Source organism: Homo sapiens, chromosome 8 (assembly GCF_000001405.40).
Source record: "Homo sapiens chromosome 8, GRCh38.p14 Primary Assembly".
Taxonomy (NCBI): Eukaryota; Metazoa; Chordata; class Mammalia; order Primates; family Hominidae; genus Homo; species Homo sapiens.
Genome location: NC_000008.11, coordinates 38248713 through 38276009, shown reverse-complemented (window position 1 = coordinate 38276009; position 27297 = coordinate 38248713). Strand labels below are relative to the sequence as shown.

Here is a 27297-nt window from a genome sequence, read left to right as displayed (position 1 = left end):
TTTGGAGTTGTATTCAATTGAATTCCATCTCCAATGAGAGAAGAAGGAACCTGGGTTTTTCATGGGTAATCAAGACAGGCACTAACTTGGGCACTTCTCCTTCTTCCTCCCCATCTCCCCGAATTAGGAAAGTGGGAGTGTCCGTGGCATCAGTGCGATGAGTGCAGCAGTGCAGCTGTTTCCTTCTGTGAATTCTGTCCACATTCATTTTGTAAAGATCATGAAAAGGGGGCCCTGGTTCCCTCTGCACTGGAAGGCCGCCTCTGCTGCTCGGAACATGACCCCATGGCTCCTGTGTCACCAGAATACTGGAGCAAGATAAAATGTAAATGGGAATCACAAGATCATGGAGAAGAAGTAAAAGAATAAATGTGTGGTGTCCCCTCCTTTCTATTTAAGTGAAAAAAGCAAATAGATCATGCATTTAAAAAGAAGAGACTGCTACAGTGCATACAGCCTTTGCCATCGGAACTGCCTTATTAAAGCAAAAATGGGAAACCAGTTCATGCAGGCAGAAGCAGTTGGTGGTGTCTGGTTTTTGTTTGATTTGGTTGGTTTGGGATTCTTTTGTGGAGGGTTAAATTCCCTTGGTCTTTTCTTGCCTTTTATTGTGCTTCAGTGCCATTGCAGCTTGAAAAAGAAATGTTTTTGCTGTTAAAATAAGAACAAAGAGAAAAGTAAGTTTTGTTAATGAGATAAATTTAAAGTCTAAGATGTGTTCCTTGGTTGTATAAAGCAAAAGTAGCCATCATTCCTTTATTTATTTTCATTTTTAGGAATTTCAAGAAGTGTAGTTCAATAGTCTAATCAAGTGTGTGTGTGTTTTAAGTAGGAATCTGAGAAAGCCCTCTAGGAAAGGGTATGATAAGCTTTATATACCTCTTTACTGAGCAGTAGGTAGGCTCACTTCTCTTTCCCTTCAAAATGCTTTTCATAGGCTTAGAGAAGGGCTCTATGGAAGTATTAAATCTGGCCTCTTGAAAACAATGCCTCGGTGGATTTTACCTCTGTGGTCTTAAACAAGGTGGGCTTTGTACTATGGTAACTTTACCTAGAAGGGTATATGGTGTGTTTCCTTGGTGGAAGGAAAAAAAGGAATGGATGTGCTCACTGATTTTTAAAACGTTTTCCATTGACATGGATGGTTTGGGTTTTGGATGAAGTGCGTTTCTGTGGATATGAAGCATAGTTGGAATGGTCACTCCTATTTTCCTGACACTGATTAAGGCAGCTAAAGGGGGATGAAGGCATAAACCAAAATTTGGATCATATAAGCACCATTTTCTGTCCAATTTTATTGTAGACCCTGGTCTTAATTGGAGAGAATTACAGGCATTTTATTTTTTGTCTCTGTTTTCCTCTCCTACTCAAACATTTCTTTTGTCATCTGACCATTCAGTCATGTTTCCTGGTAAAACCACACAAGTGAGTTTGAATTGTATTTGAATAGATCTTTTTGGTTGAGTTCCTAATTTGGGGGGTGAAAGTAGTAGGGGCATCCCCAGGTTACATGTAAAGAATTTCTATTATTATCCAGTACTTAAGATTGCTCCCATTGAGTAAGGGGAAGAACTTCTACTTTTACAGGGTGCATAAGAGCCACACAAACACACTTCATCTTAGGAAGCACTTGGAGAAAACTCCCAAGAAAGTCAGTGTTAGCAAAAATGGTTGATGGTGATGCTTGACTCTTATAGATGCGAGTATACCAAGATGTCTGCTCACCAAACTCACTTGCTTTTAATGCTTAGGAATATGTATATTCCAGTATTCCTTGTATGAAAATAATTAGTAATGTCAGACATTGTTGTAACACTGTACTAAGTAGAAGTCTAGGGTTAGCTTGAATGAATGTTAACTTTCTCTGTGAATTTTGACTGCTTACAATTGCTGGTACCTGGTAGCATTTATTTTCCCTCAAGTACCTAGTAACCTTATGAAGGTAGGGAGGGTAGATGCTCTACCACATTCCTTCAGCTGTATTGAGTGTTCCATTTGCTTATCAATTTAGAGCTCTTCTATGGAAAGAGGGTGAAAATCTGTTTTGTGCCTCTTTTTTTTGTATGTAAATGTGCAATTATACTGGATTTTCTCTTGTAAAAAACACTACAATTCTTTTACTGAAGCTCCTAAACTGCCATTTGCCTGACTCCAGCAATTAATTCTGCGGTGACTCATTGGGCTTCCAGTACTTCTGTTGATTAGATATGGTCCCAAAAGAAAGAGCAAAATGGAAAATGCGATCCATGTCACCAAATATAATTGCTACAAGTAACATGAAATACAGCTCACCAAAACACTAAACTTTGCTCTTGAGCAATTATATAGTTTGATGTCCTTTTAAAAAATAAGAAAAGCTAGGTTTTATCATACTAAAATTTTATTTTGTATATGATGTTTGGTTTTTTAAACTTACTAACATAAGGATTTCCTTTAATATTCCAAATACAGTTCTTGAAACAGTATCCAACATGAAATCTTATCTCCTTGCTTTTAGACTTAGTGCTATTTACTATCTAAAGACTTTTCTATGGTAAGCCAGGGTACATCCTATATACTACAGATACCTTAGGTTTCAGTATTTTTATGCAGCTTCTTCATTGTGTCACATTTTGTTTTCATATCTGTAACAGAGCTCTGCTGAAATTAAAAAAAAATTATGATTAATAGGATTGTTTCACCATTTCAGAAATCAGAGTAGAAAACAAAATAGCTGCCAGGTGCAGTGGCTCACACCTGTAATCCCAGCACTTTGGGAGGCCGAGGTGGGCAGATCATGAGGTCAGGAGTTTGAGACCAGCCTGACCAACATGGTGAAACCCTGTCTCTGCTAAAAATACAAAAAGGAGCCGGGCATGGTGGCACATACCTGTAGTCCCAGTTTCTCAGGAGGCAGAGGTTGCAGTGAGCCAAGATCACATCACTGCACTCCAGCCTGGGTGACAGAGCGAGACTCCATCTCAAAAAAAAAAGGTAACCATAGTTCTGAAGTCTTTGGCCATGAATGTTCTTTAATGGTCTAAAAAGCGGTTTTAGTCATGCTGGTGCCAAGGAGTTCTCCTCACACCTCCATAGCGTCAATGTTGACCTATTTGATATATTTTTAAGTTGCAGATTATAGATGCAGAAAGAGAAAATTGTCCTTTATGTGTGCATGAGTATACATGCACTGTGCCTGTGATACACCAATGAAATATTCCAAAAGACATTGCTCACTCATAGTCTGAAGTTGGTATTTGTTAACTTTTAAATCTATATGTGGTCAGAGTGTAAGTGGCTGGTTTTTATTCTTGTCCAACAATGAAATAACTTAAAGCAGCATGGGCTAATGGTGGTATTTTTTTTAACCACATGTTAATTTGTTGAAGGAAGAAGTGAACATAAGATTTTTGATAATCAGCCTAAAGCTTCAGAAACTGGATCAGTAAGAGCTAAAGATGAAATCCTGGGAAACTTTCTCAGGCACTGTGCAGGGGAGGGAGGGGCTGGACCGCCACTGCTGCGAGGGAAGAATCAGAAGAGCTGCCTGTGGCTGGCTGAGAAGGGCAAGGTGGATGGCTCTTCATTCCTGGAAGGCTGAAGCAGCCAGAGGCAGTGATTCACCTCTTTAATGTCTAATCAGGGAGAGATACAGGAGTGAGGTGGGTTTTATTTTCATTTTTGTTTTAACAAGTTCCCACTCTTATCTTAATTCTCAAAAATGATCTGGCCTCATCTATAGAACTGGCTGAGTTGGGGAATCATTTAAAATTTGGGATTTTCTGTACAAGTCAAGAACATATGTGAAAGCTAAAAAAGTAATGGAGGCAGGGGGACTGCTCCCAGCTCCCTTCTGCCATTTACACAAAATATTTGAAAACATGTCTGTAAATAACGTTGTGGAACTGAGATATTGAGTATCTAATCATGTAAAGGACCCTCAGATGGGACAGGCTATTGGACAACTTTCCTGGTTCATGAAGTGGAATTTCCTTTTTGAGTAGTTTCTTGCATGGTGTATTCCAATAGGTCAAACCCAGACCTACTGTTTGCAAACAGGCCATCTGTAGAGAATACAATCTCTGGACTGCCCAGGACTTGTTGCTTGTCTTTCATTTCATTTTAAATACAAAGCTCTTCCTTTAGCATTCACCTTGAAGTCAAGGTGTTGGCTGCCACATGCCATGTCCTCTTAACAAGATAAGAAAACAGTGGCTATGGAGCCCTCACAGCTGGGAAGCTGACATTCTATACTTCCATATGAGAAAAAGGACATTGGAAAGTTGCTTTATTTCTGGGCAGCGTAGACTAAAGTTACTTTTCACAAGGCTGATGCATCCAGCCTCCCCCAGTTGTCCAAGTTGGTGCAGACATGAATTGATGAATGGAAACACTTTCCTTTGGCCTAGGGCCACCTAGAATTGGTCTCTGGTTATTTGTAAAACAAAAAGTAGAACTTGCTTCCATTTTCAGATGGACTAGGGAATACTATAATTAGACAGCTTTGCAATGAATTAACAAATACTGAAAAGTTGGAAATGTGTATATACTGAAATCTCACCAACTTTTACCTGGGGTGGGGTACCAGGAGAAAGGGAACCCCCTTTCTCCTGGTAAAGGGTAAGGGGGGGGATAATGTTTACCACAGGTACGAAATAGTCACTTTAACATTGAGACCTCTGCCTCATTGAATTCAGGTTTTTTAAGTACTTGAAACTCTTCAGATTCTCCTTATTTTAGTTTCTTTTTACATTTATGAAGTAGAAAGCATTGTTTTGTAAACTGTTTTGAAAATAAATAGCCTAGTCTCTTATCCTCTTTAGCGTGGATTAAAGGTGAAGTTCTGCAAATGGGAGAGTGTTCACAGTAGATAGCTCAGATTGATTGAACACATTTGAGGAAGAGACTCCTGCATGAGATACCAGCATTTTTACAAATACTTTTTATGTACATTCTTTATTTTGTCATTTTGTCAACCCTCTCCCCAAGCACATCTTCTTTCCTTTTACTATGTCTATGTAGGGAAAAAAACAAAACAAAAAATTGCACTTACGTTACACTCCCAAAATGTGGGTAATCCGTGTCTTTCAAAAAACATTTCTGTTTTTTGTTTTGTTTTGGTCAGTCCATTGCATAAGTGACAAGTTTGGGTGCTTGTGGCACGTATGTATGAAGCGGGAGGGGGATGAGAATTGCCTGTCCTTCAGTAGGCTGTAAAAGTAATTTACATGTAAGTAAAAAGGGAAAATAGAATAGATGCCAAAGTCATTTATTCAGTCCTTAGTTTTCTTATGTGGCATTACTGCATCTGCTAGTTAGTGAGAAAGCACCCTCAGCTTTTACTGCTCCCCTCCCTGCCTGCCAACACACTTGATGTGTGCAAACAGCCCTCAAGTATCTGTCAGATGACCTATATAAGGTATTGAATAAGGTATTCTTGTCAGTTTAGAAATGGACTGGATAAAACTTACTTGGTTGTCATTATTTTATCTCATTTGTCCTGTTACATGCCCTATGTTAAGATAATTATATTGCCACTAATAATCAAGATGCTAAATGAGTATTACAACTGGCTAATATCATTTTTTATATACAAGGGTATGTGTATATTTGGAATTGATATGAGAAACTCATTTGTACCCATTTGAGTGATATTGCACAACAAACACAGATACCTACAGACTCCGTTTTCATTTTCTCGTGTTCTTTATGATAATGATCTTTGTAGATTGGTTATTTCTGTACTTTATCTGTAATAAACTTTGTAGATCCTGTGAACCATTACTTTGCCTAAATCACTTGAGACTTGAGTCTTTAATAACAAAGCATCAATATTCACTAAAGTCAATCTCTTTTGAGTTTCTGTGACTTGGCTAGAAGCTCTTGACACTAAGGGATTAGTGTTAATTTTCCCTGGGGGTGTTCCACTAGGGCATTACTGTATAATGACTTGATGTTGCCACATAGACTTCAAGATATATAATATTTTGAGGATTTTGTTGATTGGCCTATGTTTTATTGCATAGTGTGAAACGTGTAAAGCTTGGTTAACCTGTATATAGATAGCTTATTGTTGACTAGTTATAGTGTATTTAGGGTTGCCTGTAATATTTAAGCTTCTTTACTGATGTGTGTGCTGGTAGGAACATATAATTTTTGTACATTATATTTACTGAGATGTTGCCTTTTTTATTTTACAAATACTTTGGAATTCCAATGTGTTTTTTGCTTCCGTGAGGATTAATTTGGAAAGGTTTTTAATGACATTCCACTGATTTCAGATTTTGCTTGAGATTGACTTCAATAAATTGTCCTGTATGTTCCAAATTAAATATGTGGGCTTGTTCTTTGCCAATAATTTTTTGCTACAACACTCTGGGCAGGAGGCCATCCTGGGTGGGAGGACTAAATGACACAATCCAGCCAACCTCAGGTAGTGTAGCTTCCTGCAGAATGCGGCTGTGTTGCTAAGGAACGAGGATCTGAGAGCGGGCTGTTTGGTTTTCCATTTAGAGGCGAGGTCCCGGGAGAAGGCTGCTCCCCGCGGTGGTGTGGTTGGGCCGTGGAGACGAGCTGCTGATGATGGACCGTACGCCGACCTACTCGGCTGGAACTGGGGCGCTGGCTCCCTGCTGAACGCACCAGAGGGCAGCTCCGCTGGCTTTGCGTACCCTTTGCCAGACGATGCCCTCGGCACAGCCGCCAGGCCGTCTTCCTGGGGAGCCGCCGGAGCGCGGGCAACTGGGAGAGGGGGCGGTGCCCAGTTCCCGGCCCGGCCCTCCCCGCGGAGGTGGCCACGTCAGCGCAGCGTCGCTCGGAGCTCGCGGCCGGATGGGGAAGGCGGCGGCGGCGGTGGCCTTTGGGGCCGAAGTGGGCGTGCGGCTCGCGCTGTTCGCGGCCTTCCTGTAAGAAAGATCCACGGCCGGGCCCGGGCGGCCCCGCTTCCCAGGCAGGCGGGCGGCACGGGGCGGCGGGTCGGGCAGTGGGGAAGCGGGGAGGAAGCCAGGCGACCTGCTCTGCGCTTCTTTGTTCCCCTCTAGGGTGACGGAGCTGCTCCCCCCGTTCCAGAGACTCATCCAGCCGGAGGAGATGTGGCTCTACCGGAACCCCTACGTGGAGGCGGAGTATTTCCCCACCAAGCCGATGTTTGTGCGTGGAGAAAGATCGTCTTTCCTCCCTCCCCATGACCCGGCTTCCCGCGGGCACCTGTGCGTTTTCCACCCCGAGACGGCCTTTGTAGGGACCCACTGCCCACTCCGCTGCTGTGCGCTGGGTTCCGCCTCCTAGGGCTCGAGTGTTTAAGATCCTGATTGAGAGAGGAGGGTGTCCGAGCCTCTTTGGGCTGAGACAACGTTTTCCCGGGCGCTCTGTGCCTCAGCCTGAGGTACCGGGGCCCGAGCCGCACGGGCGCTGCTGTTCACTGGTGGCGCTGCCTGGCGCCCGGTTACGCGCACTCAGAGACCTTATGTTAGCTCCAGTGAGTCCTGCTGTGTCACATCCCTCTTTCCTGTAGGAGCACGAGTGTGGCTTTTTTTTGGATTGTTTTTAACCTCTGACATTCTGATTCAGGTTATTGCATTTCTCTCTCCACTGTCTCTGATCTTCCTGGCCAAATTTCTCAAGAAGGCAGACACAAGAGACAGCAGACAAGCCTGCCTGGGTGAGCGCTAGCCCTTTCGGGCCGGTTTCTTCGTGCTGGGAACCTAGGAGGTCGTTGTGGGATTCAGCCACGGTGAGCCTGTGTGGAGGCCACTGAGTTCTGCATTCCTAAAGGAACTCTATCCCCGCGGGAGAGGAAAATAGCACTGCAGGGACTTGGTTACGCAGGCTACACGGCAGGCAGCCCTGTGCCTAAATGCACTGGGTTATTTGTACCTCAGAAATGTCTTTGGCCTAGTACAAAAGTTCTCGGCTACAAAAGAGTGATCACTGAGGACCCTAATTATTTTTGTGCCCAGGCCTGGTTGGATTCTATCCATCTCAGAAACAGCACGGCTGCTCTCATAACGAGGCCATGACCATACCTTTCCTCCTAGACAGATCCTTTCAACTAATGGCTTTGCTTTGCAGCTGCCAGCCTTGCCCTGGCTCTGAATGGCGTCTTTACCAACACAATAAAACTGATCGTAGGGAGGTAAGTGACAACAGCTAACCACCCCAGCATCTGCCTCAGCCCTTACCCACCAGAACAGAGAGGTTAATGGTGTCCACCACACGTCTTTCTCATTCTTTTCTCCTTTATCTTCACTCTGATTTTTCTTTTGTCATTCAACGCTTACTCCCTTCCCCATACCTCAGTCCTCCAGGTGACACCTGGGCTCTTTTCTGCCTGAACAGCATTTCCCACCAACGGCCACAGCAGTCGGTCAGTGTCCTCTTGAGCACCTCCTGAAGCTGCAGTGTCATTTGCTGTTTGCCCTAAAAAGTAATCATGTGCTGGAATGGGCGTTTTTCCCCTAATTTAAATGCTCACCTTGAAAGGCTTTTCTCTTAGTGTGGTGACTATACTAAGCCAGTTACCTTATTTTGCCTGGGGCACTATTTGACCAATAGTTAACAGGATTATTAATGTCTGCTACAACTGAAAAATAATTTCTGGAGTTAATGATTTACGTTCCAACCATGCTGCTTTCTTCCAGGCCACGCCCAGATTTCTTCTACCGCTGCTTCCCTGATGGGCTAGCCCATTCTGACTTGATGTGTACAGGGGATAAGGACGTGGTGAATGAGGGCCGAAAGAGCTTCCCCAGTGGACATTCTTCCTGTATGAATATCATATGGACTCTACCCTATGCTTGTTTTCACATCATTGAATTTAACCTAGAAAGCTAGTAGGGATGGGAAAATCTGACTACTCTTGTTTCTACAATTTGGAAAATCCCCCCTTCTTTAGTAACTCCACAGTTTAACAAGTCTGAGCCTTGACTATTTGGGTAAATATTACAGAACAGAAAGGTAGTTTACCTTCATGAGATTTGCACATTTAATTGTTATATTATTTGCCTAGATCCTGCAATCTTGTACTAGCAATAAAAATACCTTTAACGAAGAGTTTCTATGTGTCAGGTACTTTGAAGCATTTTCATTTCTTACCTAATTATAGCTCACAATAATCCAATGAGGTGGGGACTATTGTATTTATGAGTCCCATTTATAGATGAGGAAACTAAAGCATCAACAAGTTGATACATATAGCTAGTATACCGAAAACTATACTCAGATAAAACATTAACTTTGGGGCACTAAGTCCTTCATTTTTCTTTTTGTTTCCCTTTCCTTCACAATGACTTACACTATAAGTATACACAAAAAAGGATTAAAACACCCTCATGGCCGGGTGTGGTGGCTCATACCTGTAATCCCAGCAATTGGGAGGCCAAGGCATGCAGGTCACTTGAGGCCAGGAGTTCAAGACCAGGCTAGCCAACATGGTGAAATCCCAACTCTACTAAAAATAAAAAAATTAGCTGGGCATGGTGGCACACACATGGAGTCCCAGCTACTCGGGAGGCTAAGGCAGGAGAATCGCTTGAACCCGGGTGGTGGAGGTTGCAGTGAGCCGAGATGGTGCCACTGCACTCCAGCCTGGGCGACAGAGCAAGACTGTCTCAAAAAATAAATAAATAAAAACATACTCATGCTTCCTAGCCTCCTATGTGGGGATGAATGAGGTAGCTTCCTTTAAAAGACAAACCACTTAAAAGTTTTTCTTGTTCCAGTTGCATTTGCTGGTCTGGCCTTTGCGTCCTTCTACCTGGCAGGGAAGTTACACTGCTTCACACCACAAGGCCGTGGGAAATCTTGGAGGTTCTGTGCCTTTCTGTCACCTCTACTTTTTGCAGCTGTGATTGCACTGTCCCGCACATGTGACTACAAGCATCACTGGCAAGGTAAGCAAAGTACTCAGGCTATGGAAGCTTGCATATTTCACTCATTTTATTCCTAGCACCTAGCACAGAGGAGATGCTTACTAAATATCTGCTGAATGAACAAATTAATGAGTATGGATGGTCTGGGTTCTGTACTAAGTACATTTAAAATTATAGGAAAGATAAGACAAAAAGAGTTTACCAAAGATAAACATCCTAATTTTTCCATTATTTGAAGCATTGTAAGTTCAAGTTAAACTGCATCTACAGGAAATTTAAAACCTCAAAGTTCAATTTACTCTCTTAAAAATCAGGTTCATTGTCATAGGACTTTTGTTCAAAAACATAAGTAAAATTCAAGAAAACATAAAATTATAATTAAACCAAACAAATTTAAGCTGAATGCTATAGTAAGTAAAATATCCAAATTACAGAACACCTGGCTTGGCGCGGTGGCTCACACCTCAGCACTTTGGGAGGCTGAGGCAGGCGGATCACCTGTAGTCAGGAATTCGAGACCAGCCTGGCCAACATATTGAAACCCCGTCTCTACTAAAAATACAAAAATTGAGGCCAGGTGCAGTGGCTCATGCCTGTAATCACAGCACTTTGGGAAGGTGAGGTAGGTGGATCACCTGAGGTCAGGAGTTGAAGACCAGCCTGACCAACAGTGAAACGCTATCTCTACTAAAAATACAAAATCAGCTGGGCATGGTGGCACACGCCTTTAATCCCAGCTACTTGGGAGGCTGAGGCAGGAGAATGGCTTGAACCTGACACAATTCCAAAAAAAACGCTGGAGGTATTGCCCACAGGTCCTCAGGAACCCTATTTTAAATTTTTAAATAAACTAGTTTTTTGCAAAGAGAAGCAACTCTTTTTTTTTTTTTTTTTTTTGAGACAGAGTCTAGCTCTGCGCCCAGGCTGGAGTGCAGTGGCACCATCTCGGCTCACTGCAACCTCCACCTCCTGGGTTCAAGCAAGTCTCCTGCCTCAGCCTCCTGAGTATCTGGGATTACAGGCACATGCCACCACGCCCGGCTAATTTTTGTATTTTTAGTAGAGACAGGGTTTCACTTGTTGGTCAGGCTGGTCTCAATCTCCTGACCTCGGGATCCATCTGCCTGGTCCTCCCAAAGTGCTGGGATTACAGGCGTGAGTCACCGTGCCCGGCGAGAAGCAACTCTTAAAATACTTTATTCCTTCCTCTAGGACCCTTTAAATGGTGAAAATGGGCAGATGAATAGCAATAAGTGGACCTTTGTTACTCTTCTGAGTTAGAAAAATTCTAATTTAGTACACTCTGAACAAAGCTTATTATACTTACTTAAGATGTGTTTTGATTTGGTGTTCAGAAAGCAACCTGACAATGATAATACTGTAACTATGATAAAATTGAGAATAAAAAGATTTTATTTAGAAATCATAAGTCTGGAATTGAGGTTATTTTAGCCCCACAGTAGAGTATCCTGGAGGGCCAGGTCCTCTATGCTATGTGTATGTAATAGGATTTAGGAGCCTAATATTAAGAGAAGACCTTGTTTCCACTCTCTTCAGATGTACTAGTTGGATCCATGATTGGAATGACATTTGCCTATGTCTGCTATCGGCAGTATTATCCTCCTCTGACTGATGCAGAATGCCATAAACCATTTCAAGACAAACTTGTACTTTCCACTGCACAGAAGCCTGGGGATTCTTATTGTTTTGATATTTAAAAATTGAATCTGGCCGGGCGTGGTGGCTCATGCCTGTAATCCCAACACTTTGGGAGGCTGAGGAGGGTGGATCACCTGAGGTCAGGACCAGCCTGGCCAACATGGTGAACCCTGTCTCTACTAAAAATACAAAAATTAGCCAGGAGTTGTGTGCCGTAATCCCAGCTACCTGGGAGGCTGAGGTAGGAGAATTGCTTGAACCTGGGAGCTGGAGGTTCCAGTGAGCCGAGATCGCACCACTGCACTCCAGCCTAGGCAACAGAGTGAGACCCCATCTCAAAAAAAAAAAAAATTGAATCTATCTCAATAGAGAACAGGTGAACTAGCCCTCCTAACCGGACCATGCACAAGACAAGAAATTCTAGCCTTTTTTTCCCCTTCCAAGGTGCAAGTGAGGACATAAGCCACACTGTATTCTGCCTCCAAATGATTACACACTTTTGCCCCTGCTCATCTATCTTGAGGAGTTACGGTTCTTTTCCACTACTGTATGCCACATGTTCTAGTAAAAGGATCTTTCAAAGGTGTCCAACACCTTATGAATCTGGTCTATCAGATTAATATCTGAAGATCTACAGTGTTTTTACATTTAATTTAAATGCCATTCTTAGAAGGATCTTGTCACAAAGAAGCCTTTACATAGCCCCACCTTGTCTCAGAAGCTAGAGTTCATTATCAAAACTTAATTTCCATTTCATATAGCTCAAAATCTTAAAATCTAGGGCATGGCCAACTAAATTACTTTGATTCTGTTTACCTTCTCTGATGACAATTCCATCAAGCCTTAAATAGGAAAATGTCGAATCTAGGGTAATTTATCACTTTTGTGTGCATCTTATCTGAGTCCAGCCATCTGGTACTGCTGTGCATTTTGAACACCGTGGGCATAAACAATTTGTTGAATTACTAAGTGAAAACAATAATAAAGAAGAAAATGGTCAGGAGTGTGGTTTCAGCACTACTAACAGATGACTGTTTCTACCTCATTTGACCATAACTGTACTTGTGAGCTTCTTTCCTTCCATTCATGACTGAAGATCTGCTCAAATGCACCAACACTGCCAAGTGACTAAGGTAGAAAAGAAAAATGACAGGTATCGTCATCTGAAGGACAGATGAATCTTTTTCTGCCCCTTCTTCACAATGGAATATAAGGAACAATTATGGGATGTCATCAGAATGGATGCCATAGGACCTACAGCTCCCTTTCTCTTTATTGTGATTATACTTTAAATATGACATTGTCTTTTATGTGTATGTTCCTATATTTTCAATGTATCTTTTTCCTTCAGTAAACCTGATATTCAAATAAAATGGTAAATGTGTGCTTTTTTAAATATTTAAAGTACATTAAGGGGCTGGAACTTTAGTAAAGCAAAACATTGAATTCCCCATCCGCCCTAAGTGATTCAACTGCTGTTATCTATAGTACTGGCTAATATTTATAAATACCAAAGGAAAGTCTCTTATAATTGCCATGCTTTAAATTCTGAACTTAAATTCTGCCTATGACAATTAAAATACCAGTCAACAGGAAAGAACTTACATATTAGTTCTTTGCCCAAAACCTATTTTTTTGTTTTAGTAATACATAAAGACAGAGAAAATCGTGACTGTACTGATTTTCTTGACTTTGAGACGGGTGAGTCCAGGTAAAAGTAGGCCACTAGTCAATATGGTTTCATGTTAGTATTTACTAAAGTTTTAAATATAATCACGTAGAAAACAAACATTTCAAAAATGCAAAATATTAGAAATCTAATCAGTGCTATTAATCTTTCCATGCAAACAATCTCTTTTGCTGAGATAAGTGATACTAGTTCTGCAGCTGGGAATATGTACAAAATGATGCTGTACCAGAGTTTAAAAATAGGGTTGGTCTAGAGATTGCACATGATACAAATGAAGCAGCGCAAATAATATATGACTAAATACAGGATTTCAATCAAGCTTATCATCCTGGGAATATACAGCTATAATACCATGAATAGACAAGATATAAAGCTCTTTCACAGTTACCCACCCCTCACCACTAGGAAAGAAACATTTCTTAATACAAAGAGTGGTTTATCTGGCTATCCAGGGCTATGCTGTCCATCTTTGGTTATAGGGACTCCCTCTGCTTATCCTTTGGTTTACTCTTAAATAGCACCTATTCTGCCAATAGGAAGAGTAAACATAAATTTGAAGACCACAACTTGGCAAAAGCTTCCCCTTAATATACAGTGAATACTTAATTCTCAATAACTCAGAGTTTATATACCTTTAAAAAAATAAAGTATTCCATATATCTGAAACTTAGTGGCATACTTAGCACTAGACTATAAGCAGATGACAAAGAAAGGCCAGGCCTGACCTATACCCCAACCTTACCTCTACAATCTCCATGGTGACAGTAATTACCCTTCATTTTCCTTTTCTTTCCAGAAAGGGATAAAGACCACTGCTGTCTAAGGAATGGCTTCAGTAAATATTAAATGTCAGTGGCTTTGAATACCATAACATTTATAAAAAAATTTATAAACAATAAACCACAGCTCGCCTGCCTTTGCCACTCTATAAACAGAGGCCTGTGGAATCTGAGAGCAAGTATAAAGGATTATCATAAAGAGAACTACAAAGACAATGACAAACTGACCAATGAAGAAGAAAAATCTACAGCAAAGTAGTGAAAAGATGCCTTGACAAAATTAGTGTGCAGTCACTTGTGTTCTTAGAAGTAAACCTCACTTCATATGTTCCAGACTCAGCTGACACTGACTCTGGAATAGCTGTTTCTTGGACCCTACAGACATAAGTTTTTCTTTCAGAACAAGTTAAACATTTCCCCCTAGCCAAACCTACCTGCTCAACCAATGCTGCCCGTGCCAAGAGCCTTTTAAATATGCTTTGTGGATTATGGATACCTAAGAAGGAAAGAGGATACACAATACTACCTTAGCTCAAGTAGAAATGGCAGGTGACAAATTCTGTTTCACCATAAAGGCACCACTAAAAGGTTTTATTTAGAACCTCAGCAGCCTGTAGAGGCTACACAATTTCAGGTTCATCAGCTTTTACAACTATTTTCAACGTAAGAATAGAAGCTATTAGCAAATAACTTCTATCAAATATAAAAGGGAGGCCTAGGATATACAACATCTTTGCTTTATAAAGATGCACCTAACATGAACTAACTTGTCAACTTTAGACTCTTACAGCAGCTCAAACAGTTGCAAAAACAATGAACATCAGTGATTTCTGGCAATAAGTCTGTCAGTTCTAAGAGAGTAAACAACACTTTTTTAAAGCTACATTCTAGTCTTTCTTCATACACTACACATAAGAAAGAAATGCAGGTTCAAAAATAAATCACCCAAAAGTCTTTTCCATGTCCACTGAGACTTAGCCTTCAGTTCAACACAAACAAGAGATAAGTGTACTCCAAAATGCCTTCTGAATCTCAAGAATCTGTTTCCAAACTAGAACATTTTCTAAAGATAAGCAATAAGTTCCTTAAAAACATGTCTACCCCACCCAAAACAAATCAAACCCAAAATAGGCTTTACACCCTGTCAAGTACTAATCAATAAAGTGTGGCAACTATAAACTATCATCAAAGAATTAAAGACACAAACCACCCCCAGCTATGCAGAAAAAAATGGCAAGTGTTTATATGAAGCCAGTGGTTAAAAGTAATAGGGCCTTTTGCTTTTCCATTCATTTCCAAAGAGGAAGATTATCTTCCAAAGACCCCAGTGGTGAGTAAGTGGCAGGCAACATGCAGGAAATGACGCAGCTGAGGAGAGGAAAATTGCAGCAACAAACAGGTGGATTTTCTGGGGAAGGATCCCTCAATGTCCGTCTAGGGAAGAAAGTGGGAGAAGAGCTGCAGTCACAACTGGAAGGCAACCACAGAGAATGCCAGAGTCGAATACACAGACTTTGTAATTTCACATCTAAAAGGCTGAGTAATTTAAATCTCAGGATGGGTGGTTGGTAATTAAAATCATAACTGTTGCCACAGTAACTCTTAGATAACAGAACCATTAAAACTCTGAGTTTAGATCCTAAAAAATGACAGGTGTCATTGGACAAAATCTCTAGCAAAACAGACATACACTAATCTTCCTCTAAATGGGCTACTGTGTTTTTTTCCCCATGAATTTCTACCAGTCCCTCTAAAAATGAATAGCAGCCTAGATCTTGGTGACAGGCAACAGCTAGTATATTTAAAAAGAGCTTGAGGCTCCATAGTTCATTATAACATGTTAATATGTAAGAATTACACTATATATATGACATTTTAAAACTTACATTAAGCAGCCATAGATGGGTCATTTTTACTGTAAAGGCTGATCAAGGAAGATACCCTGGGTTTGGTAGATCTCTTTGAGGACGAGCAATACTGTATCTTCAGACTCCCTATAAAGAGAAAAAATTATGTTGAGAAAAGGAACTAACACTTGTGCCAAATGTTTTACATATATTATCTCATTTAATCCATACAACCATCTTGCAAGTTTATTTTTTACTTCTGCAAAGAAATGAGATTCAGAAGTAATGTAATTGGCAGTGGTTTGGAAGGTGACCTGGCAAAGAACTCTGGCATTAAGTCTAGTAATATAAAAAAGCTAGGAAGAGAGGCCAGGTGCGGTGGCTCATGCCTGTAATCCTAACACTCTGGGAGGCTGAGGTGGACAAGTCACTACAGGTCTGGAATTTGAGCCAGCCTGGCCAACATGGTGAAACCCCATCTCCACTAAAAATACAAAAACTAGGGCTGGGCACGGTGGCTCACGCCTGTAGTCCCAGCACTTTGGGAGGCCAAGGTGGGTGGATCACAAGGTCAGGAGTTTGAGACCAGCCTGGCCAATATGGTGAAACCCCATCTCTACTAAAAATACAAAAATTAGCAGGGTGTGGTGGTATGCGCCTGTAGTCCCAGTTACTGGGGAGACTGAGGCAGAAGAATTGCTTGAACCCAGGAAGCGGAGGTTGCAGTGAGCCGAGATTGCACCACTGCACTCCAGCCTGGCAGATAGGCGAGACTCCGTCTAAAAAAAAAAAAAAAAAACTAGCCAGGCGTGGCAGCATGCGACTGTAGTCCCAGCTACTCAGGAGGCTGAGGCAGGAGAATCGCTTGAACCGAGGAGGCAAAGGTTGCAGTGAGCCGAAGGTTGCAGAGTGTCACTGCACTTCAGCCTGGGCGACAGAGTGAGACTCCATTTCAAAAAAAAAAAAAGCCAGTAAGAAATAACCAAGAATTGTTCCTTTTCCACAGAGATCATTCTAGAGACACTATTGAAGAGTTATCCAGTTGGTCACCTTAATTTTTAAAATATTATGCACTTTTTGGAAAAGGTAATACAATCATAAGGTTCCAAATTCCAACAATATAAGAAAGTAACGAAGTCTCCCTCCCACCTTTGTTCCTCAACCACCACCAGTTCCCATCTTCTGACAACCAATGTTATCAATTTCTCATGCGTTTTCCAGATATTATTCTACGTATGCACAAGCAATTACTTATATCCACACTTCATAACAAAATTTGATTTAAAAAGATTAACACTCATGAGGGACTGCCTTAAGGATATAAGCCTCTATTATTCTTCTAGATCTGTGGTTCAACATTTATTGAGTCATGCATCCTTTTGAGAATCTAATGAAATTACGGATTCTTCCCCAGAAAGGATCACATTGCAACCACAATTATAAATGTGTATTTCATTGGATTCACAGACTTCCCTCATCTCCCACAAACTCATATACACAGACCCCAGCTTAAGAAATTCCTGTATCAACAAGTGGGAATTAGCTCTATCAGATATTAAAATGGTACATAAATAAGCAAATCAACAAGTAAGAAGTTGAGAAATAGTCCCATTTATGTATAGGAATTTAATTAAGTGGCCAGGCACGGTGGCTCACACCTATAATCCTAACACTGGGAGGTCGAGGCAGGCAGATCACCTGAGGTCAGGCGTTCGAGACCAGCCTGGCCAACATAGTGAAACCCCATCTCTACTAAAAATACAAAAATTAGCTGGGCATGGTGGCACATGCCTATAGTCCCGGCTACTCAAGAAGCTGAGGCAGGAAAATCATTTGAACCCAGATGGCGTAGGTTGCAGTGAGCCAACTACTGCACTACTGCACTTCAGCCTGGGCAACACAGCAAGACTCTGTCTCAAAAAAAAAAAAAAGAATTTAATTAATTTAATTTAGAATCTCAAATCTATTAATAGTGTTGAGACGTGGGGAAAAAAGGACCTGAATCTGAATCAAAGATTTATATGTAAAAATTAGATATAAAATATTAGAATAGCCAGGCATGGTGTTGCACACCTGCAGTCCCAACTACTCAGGAGGCCAAGGCAAGAGGATTGCTTGAGCCCAGGAATTCAAGGGTCTAGTGCACTAAGATCATGCCTGTGAGAAGCCACTGCATGCAAGATCCTGTTTCTAAAAAAAATTATATATATAACAATATACTGTGTTGGCTGGGTGCAGTGGCTCACGCCTGTAATCCCAGCACTTTGGGAGGCTGAGGTGGGATCACTTGAGGTCAGGAGTTTGAGACCAGCCTGACCAACATGGTGAAACCCTGTCTCTACTAAAAAGACAAAATTAGCCAGGTATGGTGGTGCACACCTGTAATGCTGGCTACTTGGGAGGCTGAGGCAGGAGAATCACTTGAACCTGGCAGGCAGAGGTTGCAGTGAGCCGAGATCACACCATTGCACTCTGGCCTGGGCAACAGGGTGAGATTCCATCTCAAAAAAAAAAAAAAAAAAAATACTGTGGTAAGAATTTTTTTGGAAAGTAAGGAAGATCTTTCTGAGTATGACACAAATTCCAGAAACCAAAAAGCAAATGACAACACATTTGATTACATAAAAATAAAAATTTTGAGCAGGCGCAGTGGCTCATGCCTGTAATCCCAGCACTTTGGGAGGCAGGGGCAGGTGGATCACCTGAGGTCAGAAGTTTGAGACCAGCCTGGCCAACATGGTGAAACCCCATCTCTACTAACAATACAAAAATTAGCTAGGCATGGTAGCGCACACCTGTAATCCCAGCTACTCAGGAAGCTGAGGTACAAGAATTGCTTGAACCTGGGAGGCAGAGGTTGCAGTGAGCCAAGATCGTGCCACAGCACTCCAGCCTGGGTGACAGAGTGAGACTCCTTCTCAAAAAAAAAAAAAAAAAAAAAAAAAAAACTTGTTGGCCAGATATGGTGGCTTACACCTGTAATCCCAGCACTTTGGGAAGCCAAGTGGGAGGATCACTGGAGCCCAGGAGTTCAAGACCAGCCTGGGCAACATGGCAAAACCCCATTTCCACAAAAAAATTTGAAAAATTAGCTGGGCATAGTGTTACACACCTGTGGTCCTAGCTACTCCCAGCTGCTCAGGAGGCTGAGATGGGAGGATGGCTTGAGTCCAAGGTCAAGGCTGCAGTGAGCTATAATCGCACCACTGCACTCCAGCCTGGGTGATAGAGTGAGACTGCCTCACAAAAATAAAAATAAAAAATAAAAAAAAGTTGATGTGGAGCAACTGAAACTCTCAAACACTGCTGATGGAGATGTAAACTGCTGGTGGCAAAACAGTTTGGCAGTTTCTTTTAAAAATACACTTCCATATAGTATCCACCCATTCCATTCCTATTTACCCAAGAATATGTCCATGTAAAGTCTTATACATGAATGTTCCTAGCAGCTTTGTTAATAGCCAAAAACTGGAAACTATCAAAATATCCATCAACAGGTAAATGGACAAACTGATATATCCATATAATGGAATACTACTCAGCAATAAAAAGGATATGCTATTGATATACACAACATTGATCATGTCTATAATACCAACAGCTTGGGGGGCCAAAGCAAGAGGACTGCTTGAGGCCGGGAGTTTGACACCAGCAGGGGCAACATAGTGAGACCCCATCTCTACGAAAATAAATTTAAAAAAAATTAGGCCCAGTGGCACATGCCTGCAGTCCCAGCTTCTTGGGAGGCTGAGATGGGAGGATCCCTTGAGCCTAAGAGGATCCCTTGAGCCCAGAGATCTAGGCAACAGTGAGCCATGATTGTGTCACTGCACTCCAGCCTGGATGACAGAACAAGACTATCTCAAAAAAATAAATAAATAAATAAATAAGCTAAACGCCAAACAACAAAAGTATATACTGTAGGATTCCAAATACAAGTCATAAGCAAACTAATCTACAGTGGCAGAACAGAGCAGTGGCTCCCTGGAAATTAGGAGGAGTGGGGAAGAGAAAAGAAGGGAGGGATTACAAAAGGCACAAGGAAACTTTTGAGAGTGATGAATATGTTAAGTTGATTGTAGTGATGGCTTCACAGGTGTATACATGTCAAAACTCATCAAATGTGTATTCTTTTAATATGTACAGTATATTGTACATTTTCACCCAACAAATTGGCAAAGATTTAAAAATATTAAAACTGTTGGAAAAGCTGTGGAGAAACACACACTTTCGTACATTATTGCTGGGAGTATAAAAAGGTACAACCTCTTATTTGTCAATATTTATCAAATTTTACAAATGTATATACCCTTTATGCCATTGATTTCAATTCGAAGTATTTTACATTACAGATATACTCATGAGTAGGTGAAATGACATGAACAAGGTGTGTGCAAAAGAAAAGGAAACCTGAAAGTCCATGAGTAGAGGACGGCTTAAATAAATTATGGTGTATTTACATAACGGAAGACTATGCAGCTAAAAAAAAAAATGAGGAAACAACATATAATAGGTTAAAAAATGCCAAGATATACTAGTAGAAAAAACAAGGCACAGAACATTGCCTTTAATTTACTATTTATGTTTTTAAAATAAGGGAAAGAATATATTCACATACATATATTTATTATGGAGGCATAAAATAGATGGCTGGAAGACATTTTACATTAGTTGTATATGGGGAAGAAACTGATTGCAAGAAACAAAATAAAAAAGAGGCTTTTCATTATTTTTCTTTCTTTGAATTTCAAACCATATGAATGTACTGCCCACACAGAAATATTAAAAGAACTCTGCTTTCTTTTCTATCAAGCCAGATCACCAGAGATCATTCTTAGCATTATTTTAGCCCCTTACAAGATTGCTTTTGGCCTCTACTGTATATATTATATACAAACGATAGTGATTGCATCAGATGATAATTCCTCATCAGAATTCAAGGGAAAAATTATTCTTAGGACCTTTGAGCTTGCTTTTTTTTTTTTTTTTTTTGAGATGGAGTCTCGCTCTGTCACCCAGGCTGGACTGCGGTGGCCGTGATCTCGCTCACTGCAACCTCTGCCTCCCAGGTTCAGGCAATTCTCCTGTCTCAGCCTCCCTAGTAGCTGGGACTACAGGCATGCACCACCACACCTGGCTAATTGTATTTTTGGTAGAGACAGGATTTCGCCATGTTGGCCATGCTGGTCTGAGCTTTCATTTTTAAAACACTTATCTCTGACCCATCTTATTTCCCTTACTTTATTTTTATGTCAACTTCTTCAGGGATTAATTAGTATTATTTTATACTATTTTTTTTCAGACATGGTCTCGCTCTGTCACTCAGGCTAGGGTGCGGTGGCACCATCATGGCTCACTGCAGCCTTCAACTCCTGGCCTCAAGCAATCCTCCTTCCTCGGCCTCCCAAAGTGCTGGGATTATAAGCATGAGCCACCATACCCGGCCTGAATTTCAATAAGCATCATTAATCCATTCTACAATCCATCAGGTAACCAATTATATTTAATAATAATTCTGCCCAGGCGTGGTGGCTCATGCCTGTAATTCCAGCACTTTGGGAGGCAGAGGTGGAGGCGGATTGATTGCTTGAAGTTTAGACCAGCCTGGGCAACATGGCGAAACCCTGTCTGTACAAAAATTAGCTGGGCATGGTGGTGCACAACGGTCATCCTACTTATTAGGGAGACTGAGGGGGGAGGATCACTTGAGTCCAGGAGGTCAAGGCTGCAGTGAACCATGAGCATGCCACTGCACTCCAGCCTGGGTGACACAGCAAGACCCTGTCTCAAATAATGATAAAATAATAATAATTAATTCTGTCACAGCTACCATAAATGCTTTCAAATGGGTTTGCTATAAGACTTCCAGCAACAGTAATATTTGTTCCAGTTCATTCATGTGCACCTAAATGGCCAAAAGACACATTTTTAACACCAAGATAATTGAACTTATGGTTGTTGGCATCATTAGCCTCAACCATGTTCTACCCAGCTGCAAAATAAAACAACAGTGTGTTTAAACCAGATTCTTGAAATGACATGATTGTGCTTGTGCTGTCTAAATGAGAAGTCATTTTAATTCCAAAGGTACACAGGTCTTTTTTTTTTTTTGAGACAGGGTCTTGCTCTGTCACCCAGGCTAGAGTGCAGTGGTGTGATCATGGCTCACTGTGGTCTCAAACTCCTGGGCTCAAGTGACTCTCCTGCCTCAGCCTCCCAAGTAGCTGGGACTATAAGCGCATACCACCACGCCCAGCTAATTTAGTTTTTGTAGAGATGAGGTCTTGCTATGTTTCCCAGGCCGGTCTCAAACTCCTGAACTCAAGCAATCCTCCCACCTTGGCCTCCCAAAGTGCTGAGATTATAAGCCTGAGCCAATGCACCTGGCCTATCCTCCTTTTTCTACATCTATCAAATATCTATGAAACAGGTAAACAAACAAAACAGACAAAAATAAACAACATTTACCAGTAGCATAGATGGCTTTGTAAAGCAAATAAATACTCATTAAAACTTTCAATAGGCTTCTCCTGTAGCACATAGTCAATGCGTTGGCCTCCATTCAGCATCCCCACATTGATAGGCAGGACTTCTTCTTTAACTGCCACAGAGGTCTCTTCTGTGTTAACATCTGGATATGGAAGAACCATAATAAGAATCTAAAACCTTTTGGCCTTCAGGGTTATCCTGTTAACTTCTCCTCACACTCCAAGTTTACCAGAGAATGAGCTACTCTCTGTTCAGAGAGCTCTCTCCCATCTTCCTCCTCTCAATCTCCTTCAAGCTCCTTCTCAGGTCACAGTAATTTTGTCCAATCCCCTTTTTTGCTTTTGCGCAACACATCTCATTACCTATACCATTGATAGCTAGGTCATTTGCCTTGGGTTTATACTAAATGCAAGCAGGAATAGAGCTCTTTAGAAGTTGAAAACTAAAGCAAAAGAATGCAATATTAACTATGAAATTAAATGTGAAATTAAATTAAATTAACTATGAAAAACGCCACACCATGGCATCCCTCTTATCTGGCAGCTGGTCAATGTGTACAGTGTCACTGACCACTAGGCTTCTCTGAAGTTGATTCAGGTTCTGCTTCAGTTTCTTCTGGTGTTTCTGAAGCTTGTAAGGCAGGGTATGGAGCTCTGGTAAAAGACTTCCAGGCCATCCGCAGCGAACCTAGCAAGTTGTTCTTAAGGTCCATACTCATCCTGGTCAAGCCCTCTCTCAGTTCTGAAACATATAAATAAAGAACATTAAATGATTTACAAAGAGCTTAGGGTCCAACATAGCTGAACAGAGTGAATGATGCCCTTTGCACTGGCCAAAAGGTCTAGAATTATCAAGTTCTATGCTCGGACTTACCTAAGTGCATCCGCTTCCTGCCTTTATGATGTGGGATCAGCATTGGCTCAAATTCCACTCCTGGGACCACCATTGGTTCAATCCTATAGGCCACAGGATCAAACTACATAGGAAAAACAAGAGCTACATTTACCTCTGCTAAGCACAGTCTGGAAACTATATAACTTTTTTTTTTTTTTTTTTGAGATGAGGTCTCGCTCTGTCACCCAGGCTGGAGTGCAGTGGTGCAATCATGGCTCACTGTAGCCTTCAACTCCTAGGCTCAAGCAATCCTCCTGCCTTGACCTCCCAAAGTGCTGGGATGACAGGCATTAGTCACCATGTACAACCAGAACTATGTATCTTAAACAATAATCATAAGTTCATTTAAAAAAATGTACAGTTCTGCTCCATCACTTCCAAATCAATACTATTATAAGTTGTCTCATTGCTAGACAATGGAATAGGAAAAAAAAATCAACACAACAGAAAATCCTATGTTCTTTAACAATAAGCCCTGATATTTAGGTAAAACCACAATAGCTGTACAATGCTTACAGGGTGATAAATATTGAAGAAACCTTTGCACGTTGGAAATCTGTAGTTGGGATCAATTCTTTTTAGTCCTCGGACAGTAAGGAACATTCCAATGGGAGATCCAAAGGCAAAGAATATCTCTGGTTTATAGATGAGCCGGGGGTATTTCACAGACACCTCAAAGGAGGAAAATAAAAGCATCTCTCATTAATAACAAAAGTTACATCTGTTTCTACCATACAAATAGCAGGCTGTAAAATGATCAAAGAGAATTAGTTACCTGCCCAATGCCAACATCCAGATAGTCACCATTTCTAGTATTACTGCTACTGCAGAACTCAGATTCTTTGGGGATGTTTGCCCCTGAAGCAGGCTGCGGGGCTGGTCTCTTAATACCCTAAAGAATAAAAAATAGTTATGTGGAGAAGCTGGGCATGACGGCATGCACCTGTAGTCCCAGCTACTCAGGACCCTGAGGTAGGTAGGTAGGTAGGATTGTTTAAGCCCAAGAGTTCAAGTCCAACGTGGGCAACATAGTCTCTATTTAAAAAAAAAGTATGGGGAGCTACTATATAGTAAAAGTATAGCCAAAGGATTATATAGTTTTCTACTGGTTTGAAAGGACCCTTGGGAAAGTTCTGAAATGGCAGCCAAAAATTCTAGGAAGATTTCCTCAGAAAACAAGATTAAATTATTGCCTTAAATTGTTAATTGACATTCTTAGATGCTCTAAAATGATGAAAGTTGTACATAGCCATTTCAGTAGCGTTGAAACTTTAGGCAACAATCATAAGAGAAAACAATAGCAGGGCACTGTGGGAAGATAATGCTGAGGATTGCTAGAGTTCTATGAAGTGCTGTGCCTCTGTAATCAAGGGAAGTAGGATGTCGATGGGCTGGGCCAAGAACTGAGTCTTTAAAAAGAAATGAGCCACCTGCTAAAAAGTTGGAAAAGAACTAACTACTGGCCAGGCATGGTGGCTCACGCCTGTAATCCCAGCACTTTGGGAGGCTGAGGTGGGCGGATCACTTGAGGTCAGGAGCTCAAGACCAGCCTGGCCAACATGGTGAAACCCCATACTAAAAATACAAAAATTAGCTGGGTGTGGTGTCGCGTGTCTGTAATCCCAGCTACTCAGGAAGCTGAAGCAGGAGAATCACTTGAATCCAGGAGGCGGAGGTTGCAATTGAGCCAAGATCGTGCAACTGCACTCCATCCTGGGCGACAGAGCAACACTCCGACTCAAAAAGAAAAAAACTAACTAATAAGATATGGAGTTAGAAATTCAGTGACCAGAAAAACTGAATGTGGAAGTACTGTTAACACAGGTAAACCTTCAGAATATTATGCTAAGTGAAAGAAGTCAGACACATGGCTCAAAAGGACATTCCATTTATATGGAATGTCCAAAATAAGCAAATCTGTAGAAACAGAAAGTAGATTAGTGGTTGACAGAGGCTGGGGGCAGGGAGCAATGGGGAGTGACAGCAAATGGGTATGGGGTTTCCCTAAGGGACAATGGAAATGTGCTGAAATTGGATAGTGGTAATGGTTACATAACTCTATGAATATACTAAAAACCATTAAATTGTAAACTTTAAAAGGGTGAATTTTATGGTATGTGATGTGAAGTAGATATTGGTAAAACTCTCATGAAAAGAAAAAAGCAAAAAATAAATAAATAAATAAATGGTAGGAGAATTCCAGAGGAGAGAAGACTTCTGAAGCTAATAATACTTTTAAGGATGTAAAAAAAGAAGGGCCAGGAGCGGTGCAGCACTTTGGGAGGCTGAGGCACATGGGTCATCTGAGGTCAGGAGTTCAAGACCAGCCTGGCCAACATAGTGAAACCCCGTCTCTACTAAAAATACAAAAAGTTAGCTGGGCATGGTGGTGCACACCTGGAATCCCAGCTACTCAAGAGGATGAAGCAGGAGAATTGCTTGAACCTGGAAGGTGGAGGTTGCAGTGAGCCGAGACCACCCACTATACTCCACCCCGGGCAACACAGCGAGATTTCATTTCCAGGAAAAGAAAAAAAAAAGAATGTAAAAAAGAAAATGTGTTTAATTTCTAGAAAGAGAGCCAAAGATCGGCCAGGCGGGTGGCTCACACCTGTAATCCCAGCACTTTGGGAGGCCAAGGCGGGCAGATCACAAGGTCAGGAGTTTGAGACCAGCCTGGCCAATATGGTGAAACACCGTCTCTATTAAAAATACAAAAATTAGCCAGGCATGGTGGTGGGCGCCTGTAGTCCCAGCTACTCGAGAGGCTGAGGCAGGAGAATCGCTTGAACCCGGGAGGCAGAGGTTGCAATGAGCTGGGATCACACCACTGCACTCCAGCCTGAGTGACAGAGCGAGACCCTGTCTCAAAAAAAAAGAGCCAAAGATCAATTACCAAAAAACTGCTTGGCTCCCCAGAGTAAACATCCCACAAAGCACAAGGACACACTATGGACATCAAAGAATTGTTTAGTCCAACAAGCTGTATTAGGCACATACCATTGAGTTTTTTCTGGTGCTGAAATAGTTTAATATCTTCTTTCTTGGTCCTAAAGGAATTCCTATTTCCTGAAGATCTCGGTCTGTACATAAAGCCTAGGCATAGAAAATCAAGTCTTTCTTATTTCTAGACAAAATAAAATCAATCCTGTCCCCTAAGAGGAACAAGGCCTAGGCACTCTGTTGCTGCCTGTCTCTCTAGTAGTAAAACATCATAGAATAACTTCCAGAAAAAAGGACCTGTTTTATTCATGAAACAGCCTAAAAAAGAATAGAAAATATCAATACTTATAATATCAATGTTACAATAATATAGACATTGTTATTGTTAAAAAAAAAAAAAAAAAACAGAGAAGTTGGGTATCTAAGGACTTCAGGACATAAAAATCTTCCTTGATTTCTGGCCAGGCGCGGTGGCTCACGCCTGTAATCCCAGCACTTTGGGAGGCCGAGGCGGGTGGATCATGAGGTCAGGAGATGGAGACCATGGTGAAACCCCGTCTCTACTAAAAATACAAAAAAAATTAGCCAGGCGCAGTGGCAGTCACCTGTATTCCCAGCTACACAGGAGGCTGAGGCAGGAGAATGGCGTGAACCCGGAAGGCAGAGCTTGCAGTGAGCCGAGATCGCGCCACTGCACTCCAGCCTGGGCAACAGAGCAAGACTCCGTCTCAAAAAAACAAAACAAAACAAAAAAACTTCCTTGATTTCTATACTGACTTAGATGTCACATGCCTGAGAAGGATTATACTCCTGCTGATGAACGCAAGCACTGAGAACATACAGCAAACACACAAGTATGGAACAGACTAACAATCAAGATCTCAAGTGTCACTCATCGTTTTTTTTTTTTTTTTTTGAGATGGAGTCTTGCTCTGTCGCCCAGGCTGGAGTGCAGTGGTGTGATCTCAGCTCACTGCAACCTCCACCTCCTGGGTTCAAGCGATTCTCCTGCCTCAGCCTCCCAAGTAGCTGGGACTACATGTGTGTGCCACCACACCCAGCTAATTTTTGTATTTTTAGTACAGACAGGGTTTCACCATGTTGACTAGATTGGTCTCGAACTCCTGACCTCGTGATCTGCCCACCTC

General features: G+C 41.5%; 3 protein-coding genes across 41 annotated transcripts in view, besides 1 other annotated feature; 2 read left to right on the top strand and 1 right to left on the bottom strand.

The window, feature by feature from the left end:
* The window catches only part of NSD3 (nuclear receptor binding SET domain protein 3), a 112568-nt gene extending 106262 nt beyond the window's left edge, over positions 1-6306 (top strand). The window contains exon 24 of the mRNA NM_023034.2: positions 128-6306. Coding sequence (NP_075447.1) covers positions 128-369 — 242 coding nt within the window. The 3' untranslated portion in view covers positions 370-6306. The remainder of the gene's footprint in view (positions 1-127) is intronic.
* Positions 2363-27297, bottom strand: part of DDHD2 (DDHD domain containing 2) — a 42063-nt gene continuing 17128 nt past the window's right edge. For 6 of the 18 annotated variants that reach the window (NR_156416.2, NM_001362914.2, XM_047421615.1 and 3 more), the window contains 8 exons: positions 26207-26302; positions 23982-24098; positions 23723-23878; positions 23186-23288; positions 22883-23053; positions 22292-22454; positions 15863-15970; positions 13174-15410 (listed from right to left, as the gene is read on the bottom strand). Coding sequence is in view for 11 of the 18 variants with exons in the window: in NM_001362914.2 (NP_001349843.1) it covers positions 15889-15970; positions 22292-22454; positions 22883-23053; positions 23186-23288; positions 23723-23878; positions 23982-24098; positions 26207-26302 (888 nt within the window). In the remaining 7 variants the exon portion in view is untranslated. Of the gene's footprint in view, positions 8398-9897; positions 12473-13173; positions 15447-15862; positions 15971-22291; positions 22455-22882; positions 23054-23185; positions 23289-23722; positions 23879-23981; positions 24099-26206; positions 26303-27297 lie in introns of those variants that run through there. The other 12 variants (NR_156417.2, NM_001362911.2, XM_047421617.1 and 9 more) reach the window with 8 other exon arrangements.
* Positions 6588-7067: a silencer, noted in NCBI's record as "silent region_19119". NCBI's record gives its function as "represses an Ori minimal core promoter by ATAC-STARR-seq in GM12878 lymphoblastoid cells {active_cell/tissue: GM12878}" and the evidence as "EXISTENCE:reporter gene assay evidence [ECO:0000049][PMID:35858748]".
* On the top strand, positions 6786-12880 carry PLPP5 (phospholipid phosphatase 5). 22 transcript variants are annotated; one of them, NR_148893.2, is made up of 8 exons: positions 6786-6884; positions 7020-7128; positions 7549-7639; positions 8050-8113; positions 8278-8404; positions 8619-8743; positions 9699-9869; positions 11406-12880. NR_148893.2 is itself a non-coding variant. In NM_001354452.2 (7 exons), exons 1-7 carry the CDS (start codon positions 6811-6813, stop codon positions 11564-11566), a joined length of 741 nt encoding a protein of 246 aa, NP_001341381.1. In that variant the 5' UTR covers positions 6786-6810; the 3' UTR covers positions 11567-12880. The 22 variants fall into 22 exon arrangements, 18 of the variants coding, with proteins under 18 accessions (NP_001341381.1, NP_001341385.1, NP_001096029.1 ...); XR_001745608.3 differs by lacking the exon at positions 11406-12880 and having other exon boundaries at positions 7938-8113; positions 8317-8404; positions 9699-9870; NM_001354452.2 differs by lacking the exon at positions 8278-8404 and having other exon boundaries at positions 7603-7639.